The sequence below is a fragment of the Homo sapiens genome, chromosome X (assembly GCF_000001405.40).
Source record: "Homo sapiens chromosome X, GRCh38.p14 Primary Assembly".
Taxonomy (NCBI): domain Eukaryota; kingdom Metazoa; phylum Chordata; class Mammalia; order Primates; family Hominidae; genus Homo; species Homo sapiens.
This window is the reverse complement of record NC_000023.11, coordinates 19,162,542-19,170,234: the sequence shown is the minus strand read 5'-3', so window position 1 is coordinate 19,170,234 and position 7,693 is coordinate 19,162,542. Positions and strand designations below refer to the sequence as shown.

Genomic DNA, 7,693 nt, shown 5'->3' with positions numbered 1-7,693 from the left:
TGTCAATTTTCTCATCAGTAAAAATAGTTCTTACTTCATAGGGTTGTAATCACAGATAATCTGTAAAGCACTTAGCACAGTGCTTGACAATAGCAAGCTCTTAATAAAAATTATTATAATTGCTATTTTATATTGACACGTCTATTTTTGTAGGGCTCCTTCTTTATGCAATTCTAATTTTTACTTCCTTCTCTTGGAGGAAGTAAACATCCAGCTACTACTCCCATGCACAATCCGTTACAATTTATTTTCTCCAAAGCAATTTGCTCGCCACTGCTTTTGCAAACCGCGGCTACCCTGAAAACTTTCTGCTCACTCCTTTTTCATCAAAACCACAGCAGTGCTGTCCAGCAGAACTTTGTGTGACAGTAGAAATGTTCTATAATAGAACATGGAGTTCCAAGCACTTGCCATGTAGCTAGTGAGACTAAGGAAGTGAATTTTGAATGTTAATTAATTTGAACGTAAGTAGCTACCTGTGGCTAGTGGCTACCATATTGGACAGCACAACTCTGTAGGGTTTCTTTCTTGCTTGGAACTCCATTATTAAGTAATGGTCCATCTTACAATTAATGGCATGTTAGAAAAGAGGAAGTTCAGTGAGAAATTATGAAATTTAATGTTAGATTTAATTTTTTATATTTCCAGCCTTTCATAAATAGCTTCGTTCTTTCCTTCAAAAATGAATATACAGTTATTCTATATAAATCCAACAAAGGTCAAGATGAAGCAGGTTTCCTGCTTAGAGCATGTCTAATAGCGTCTATCCTTGCTACGGATGTATTGCATTGATGAGACCTATTTGGTTTTAGCCAGTTAAACAGAACATTTGGAGGAAGTTAAGTTCATCGTGAATTTTGCTGATGATCAACCAGAATGAAAGTGCTTTGGAAGTTGGAGATAGAAAAAATGCAGAGTCCAATTAGGTCAGTGACTTCCACATTATTTTTACCATGGTCCACAGTATGAAATTCAGCATGGACTAGTATACACATATAAACATACATAATGGAAATAAAGACTTCACAAGAGCTATACTTTACCTTTATTACATGTAGCATTTTGATAGTCTGTATTTTATTCTATCCTCTTCTGTGCCACTCTGTTGTATTTTAGTCTATTTCATTTTCCATATACTGGTCAAGATTCACTAAATTGTCTTCCAGACCCACTATTGGGTTCCAATCTGCAAACACCAGATTAGGAGATGTACAGGAGCCATGTGGGTTTGAGAGTCAGAGGGAAGAGGGGTGACTTGCGAGTGCTGGGCTTCAGAAACAAACAGGGCTGGAGGCCGGATTAGTTTGCTAGGGCTGCTGTCACAAAACACCACAGGCTGGATGGTTGAAACAACAGAAATTTGTTTCCTCGCAGTTCTGGAGGCTGGAAGTCCAAGATCAAGGTGCCTGCAGGGTTGAGTTCTTCTGAGACCTCTCTCCTTGGCTCAAAGATAGCCACTCTCTCATTGCCTCTTCATGTGGCTGTCTCTCTGTGCATGGACAGTGCTCCTGGTGTTTCTTCTTCCAGTCATATTGGATCAGGGCCCACTCTAATGGCCTTATTTTAACGTAATCACCTCTTTAAAGAGGTGGTTACATTCTGAGGTACTCGGGGTTGAGACTTCAACATATGAATTTTGGTGGGACACTAGTTGTGCAAAGCAACAATGCAAAAGTTAATACAGGAGTGCTGAAGGTTCTCAGGCTTCAGAAAAAAATGGGAGCATAAAGCATGCTACAAATAAATTACTGCTATCTTAGTGAAAATAGAAGTTGGTTAGGTTCAAATCATAAATTCTGAATTTAAAATATAAATGTGTGTGCTTGCTGATATGAATATCTAATAAAAATCCTCATGCACACATTTGGCTTACCAATCAATATTTAACTCAAGGTTCACTTATCGTAAATGAGAACTGGAAGTTCTTTTGCAATTGGATGGGGACGCTGTCTAGTCTCAACATGCTATTTTTGAGAACACTTGAAGAACAGACAGCATTTTCTTTGCAAACATTAACTTGCCACGTCTTACAAAATTATTCCCCTTGGGCCACCTATATCAGGATGGTACTATCTCAGTTTTCCAGATATGGAACTGCTCAATTCTCTCTCTGAGGTTGTATAAAAGCACCAGTGACCCAAGCTAATGCTAAATTAAGGAATCAACTGGTTTTCATCCAATACAGCTAAACCAGATGGGCTGCCTTAGCAACTTCCAGGCCAACTCCATCTATTTTTCAACCCAAATTTAATAGATTTGTGCACTGCCTGCCTTTTTCATTTGTTAGACTCTGGAGAGAGAAAAGGAACACATTTTTAATACTCCCCTTTGTAAGTATAAAATAATACCTTCCAGCTCACGGAAAATAAAAGAAGTTAAATAAAAATGAAATATAGGCCATCTGTAACTCCACTACCCACTTTAAGGCTTTAGCATATTTCCTTCCAATATTTTAATGCATTCTTATAATGAAAATTATGCTATATATATAGTTTTTTATCCTGCATTACTTGCTTATGATTATATGCATTCCACTTAAAACCCTTTCAAAGCATTATTCTTTCATGATTACTGGATAGTTCTTTAAGTGTGTCCAGTGGAAGTGGGAAGATGGCAGTCCAGGGTGAAACTCAAGCCAAGAGGGTAGTCCACAAACCAGCCAAGGTGATCCTCAGGACAGCAGACCAAGAGAAGATTCTAAACTGCTGCTTAATGAGCTGTGGGGTAGAATGCGGGGGAGGGGAGAGTTTGTTCCAGGAAATTCAATGTACCCGCAATAGGTGGGCAAAATGAGCCATAACACATCAACTCCGAATCCTAGGCTTGTAGACCATGGGTGCAGAGAAATAGCTTTTCCAATCCCTGCATCTCATGTGTTCTCAGCCCCACTTACTCACTCAGAAATCCCAGTCCCTTGTGAAGTCTTTCTTGAGTGTCTGGGGAAAAGTAGAGACACTTTATGTGTTTGCAACCATCAGTCTGGGCCACAGGGCTCAGTCTGCTTCTGCTTCTCTGAATTCTGTTTCAGTCATCTGTGCCCTCCTTGGAAGGGATCTCTGCTTCACCAGCCTCTGGTGACACATTTAGGAAGATTCGGTCTGACCACTCATTATCTCCATCCTCATACCCTTTAATTACCCAGCAGCCTTTTGCCGTGTGAGACATTCCGTGTTGGGCCCCCTTGGTTCACATAGGCAGCCTTCGCACTACTCCTCCCCTACAGTGTCACAAGTGCATTCGCTGCTCCTCTTGGAATCTCAAACTGTGTTGCCGAATCCACCTGATCACACCAAAATCCCTTCTCTTCTGGGATTCTTTTTTCAAGATTCTCCCCTGCCCGCATCCCTCCTTGCAAGCCGGCTTCTGTTGGCCTCCTCTTCCTCCCTACCAACTGTATCTGACATGTCTGTCTATATCCAAACTCCAGCTGTGGCCTCGAGTCAATGCATTTTCTGCTTTGATGCCCATGTGCATCAGTTAATTCAAACCTATACCCAGAGGCTGGGGACGCCCAACATATTTGAGTCTCTGTTCTGGCCTAACTGGAACCTCTGCTACAGTGACTTAGCCCTTCCCCTTGTAAGGGAATCACAGAGCATTTTGCTATTATAAATATCACTGTAATCAACATCTGTTTGCATAAATCTCCAGTAATCATCCACATCTCTGGTCATTTCTTTCCGGAAGATCCCTCAAGGTGGAATTACGCAGTCAAAAAGTATACACACTTAAAATGTGTATACCATAGTACAAATTGCTTTTCACAAAGATGGTTCCAACTGTCACGCTCACCTGCCACATAGGACAGTCGAAAAGGCACATTTGAGAATGCATCCCTGTGTTTCTAAGGGTGTGAATGAGTGGCACCTGCACTGACTCCTGGAGTTACAGCCAGAAAGCTTCGGTTTAAACCCTGGCTTGCCAACTATGTAACTGTGGTGGGTCACCTACTTTTCTAAGACTTGTTTTTTTCTCATGTCTAATGGGACTAATGACACCTTCCCAAAAGAGGTATTGGAATGAATACGTGAGAAATTGCACACATGAAGGTTAACTCACATCTCCTTTCAGCTCTGCTTGGAAGCTAGTTACTCTTGGAATCTAATGAGAGTTTACATTTTAATGACCAATAATGGTCTGATGACAACGCTCCCCAGCAAACTGCACCAGTGCTAGGTAAGCAGGAACAATCTGTTCTTTTCTTTTGACTAGCAAGCACGGAGGCTAAAGATTGGGGCTTCCCCAGAACCCCCAGGCCACACCACTGTCTGCCCTGCCTCCCAGATGTGGAAGGCCCTGCCATGCTGATCGGGTAAGATAAAAGCCACATGGTGAACGCAAGACTTTGGGCTAACATTTTTGTTTTACGAACGGTTCCACAGTTTTGAATTCAGCTGCATACCCTACTTGCCAACCATAGCAAAGTACGAATACAATTCAGCACCTCATTAATCCCAATATTATTACATGTGTGGTTTTCATTTCACATTTAATATTTATTTTTCTCAAGAGGAAGCCAGGACTAGATTAAGCATGTTAGAGTCATCCAGTCCGAAGGTCAGGAAAGTATTGGTAGAGCGGGGGAGGCAGGGGCTTCTGGGGGAAGAAAAGACTGTGGCCGACTTTCGTTCACGGCCTGATGGGTAACACTCATTGATCATTTTATGGACTTAAACAGTAAGTGGCTTTTTGGACTGACTAAACTAAAACCATGGGATGCATGAACACATTTAGATTCATCTCTGAGTCTTTGAATCTACCCACCTACTCATTCCTAGCAATCACACCTTCAAATCACAGGAGCTTGTTAGTAGCATGTTAGCTCTTAAATGGATCTTAGAGACAACCTCCTTCCCTCTGTCTGCTTGTGTGAGATGTTTAGCATTACAGTGTTTATTGGCTGGGCTTTAAACAAAATAAAAAAGCAGTTGGAAATCAGTAGCTTAATTCTCTTCTGGAATTAAAGTTAAATTCCAGTCTAGGAAACTACAGGAGGACACTCACATGCAGAATTTTGTTCTAATCAGACTAATAAGAGCCCTATCTCTGGAATGAAAGAACTGGGGAAGAAAAAAATTGCTTCTAATCTATTTATAGTATATTCAGAAGAGCAAAGAAGTACTTTGAAGTTCTCTTAAGTAGGAAGAAGATGAAGGTATAATATATTCCCCAGATGACTTTTTTTCATCCTCCCTGAAACCTTCTTATTCTGCAAATATTTAGCAACTGTGAATAGGGAGATCAGCAGAAGCACGTGAAACATTCAAGGCTGTTGCAAGCCAGAAGCTAGGTATGGGTTAGATTTACGAGAGGGGTTTGGACTTTTGTTTCTGCCTAGCATGTGGGGTAATAGTAAAGGATTTTGAGCAGGCAGAATGACACATCTGAATAATGCTTTAGGAGGCAGGATGCTTTGGAAGCAATGTGTGGTGAGACAGGAAAGGAGAAGACGCTGCAGGCTGGGAGGCCAGGTGGAGAACATGTAAAATCATCAAGGAGAGGGTGGGTGATGAGGTTTGGCTACGACTCCACCCAAATCTCATCTTGAATTGTAGCTCCCATAATTCCCACATGTTGTGGGAGGGACCGGTGGGAGGTAATTGAATCATGGGGGCAGTTTCCCCCATGCTGTTCTTGTGGTAGTGAATAAGTCTCACAAGATCTGATGGTTTTATAAGAAGAAACCCCTTTCGCTTGGCTCTCATTCTCTCTCTTGCCTGCTGCCATGTAAGACGTGCCTTCCACCTTCCACCATGATTGTAAGGCCTCCCCAACCACATGGAACCGTGAGTCCATTAAACCTATTTTTCTTTATAATTTACCCAGTCTGGGGTATGTCTTTATCAGCAGTGTGAAAACGGACTAATGCCTGAACTAGGCTTTCAGAACTAGGAATTATCTTAATTGAGCTGCCCCCAGAAGCAAGCCCTGAGACAAGGATTCCAGTGCAAGTATGCAAGTAGTTGCTTTGGGAGTTGATCCCAATCAACACTGGCTGGGGAGAGTGAAGTGAGAGGGAAAGAAAGCAAGTGGGTATTAGCAAATCAGCTACTGCTGTGGGCAATTAGAGCTTGATCCTGATGGGGAGCCCTGCGAGACTACCTAGAAGGTACCTCAGAGTTCTCCCTGCAAGAGACAAGGAAGGTGGGGATTTATTCATCAATTCCTCACCAACCATTGGTGAAGAGCTGCTTCCAGAAGCACCCCCCAGCATTCCAGATTCGCCCTGCATGTGGGCCAAATGTGCTCCAACAAAAATGCCCTCAGGAAGTCGCAGGTGTCTGCAATGAACAGCCTTGGGAATGGAGAGGTGAATGTCAAGGCAGTCCGGGTAGAGCAAAAACAGGGCCACACGTAGACGTCTATTTCTCCCTGGAGATACTCAGGCAGTCCTGGATCTTGTAAGTGAGACTTAGTTCTCTGAGTAGTTGGGCAGAAAGATCTCTGATTTGACTTTCTTCTCTAAATTCTGTGATTCCTTCATCTTCAATAACAGGCCACCCTATACGCACAGATTACATTCTTGCATGTATTTAATCCCAGTTTTGAATCCATGCCCCCTTTAATTCTACTCCATAATACACATTTCTTTGAGGAACTTGCAATTAGCATTTCTGCATACCTTTTATGGAATTATATTTTTAAAACACTTCTCTAATGAGATTGCAGAAGACTGGAAATTACAGTAATGAAGGTATTAGCCAGGCATGTGATACCCAAGGTAGGAAAGAAAAACATATTAAGTCAACTTGCCATAACTTACTCCAGTGAAGTTGGCAATGAGCAAGCCATCCATCTCCATCATTTACTAGAATTAATTCAAAGTCCTGCTGGGGTTCAACTGAGAAGAGAAACTTGCCAGGACTTCACGTTGGAAGCCATTCAACATGAAAACCAGCATGACATATTTTCTCTTCAGGACCACACAACTCAAAATTGAAGAAATTTGAGGAATTTCTAGAAAATTCCATAACAGGTCAATGACAATTTAACCCCAAGAAAAGAGAACTGACTTTCTTAGGGAAACTGTAAGTTGCTTGCCTTTGTGGACCTTAAAACTGACCTTTTTGGTTCTCTTGCAGTTAGTTTATTAAGGGGGAAGGGAGTGAGAAAGTGCTAACAGCTCCCAGAACAGATTTTTCAGTGCTGAGGTCCACCCAGTGAACTCCCAAGCCAAGTAACCAATGCTTGAAAATACGTTTACATCATGGAAGTAGAAAAGCCAAACCCCAGCTGGCCTTCATGAGAGGGAATAAATGTAAAGCCCGGAACGAAAACGTGGCACCTCTTAGCGAGGCAGCGTTTTCTTCATTTTCATTGGTCCCTTTCCTTTGACCACAGTCCCTCGCAGCCCCTCAGGATCTGGTCTGGGAGGCAAGGGGCGGCTCCTGTTACTTTCACACCCAATTGGAGTGGCCTGGGAGCTGACCCAAATCTGGGTGAACGCATTTTCATTAAACCAGTAGATAGTCATTGAGCACCTACTGAGTGCAAGGGACAGAGTCCAGCTCTTCGCAGTTGGTAAAGGTAAGTCGGCCCTGGAGGGCCTTAGAATTCAATGGGGAAAGTGAGACATAGAGAACTCTAATATAAAGTTCCAAGGGTGCAGTGCTGTCACCATGCTATAACTTCCTGTCATACTTGTAACTGTGAAAAGGATCCCGGCCGGGTACAGTGATGCACACCTATAATT

At 42.3% G+C, this 7,693-nt stretch overlaps 1 annotated feature.

Annotated features, from left to right (window-relative positions):
- Positions 5,392-5,543: a silencer, noted in NCBI's record as "fragment chrX:19182810-19182961 (GRCh37/hg19 assembly coordinates)". NCBI's record gives its function as "represses an EF-1alpha promoter that drives an FKBP-Casp9 reporter gene in an ReSE screen in both phorbol 12-myristate 13-acetate-treated (for megakaryocytic differentiation) and untreated K562 erythroleukemia cells {active_cell/tissue: K562 | K562(+PMA)}" and the evidence as "EXISTENCE:reporter gene assay evidence [ECO:0000049][PMID:32094911]".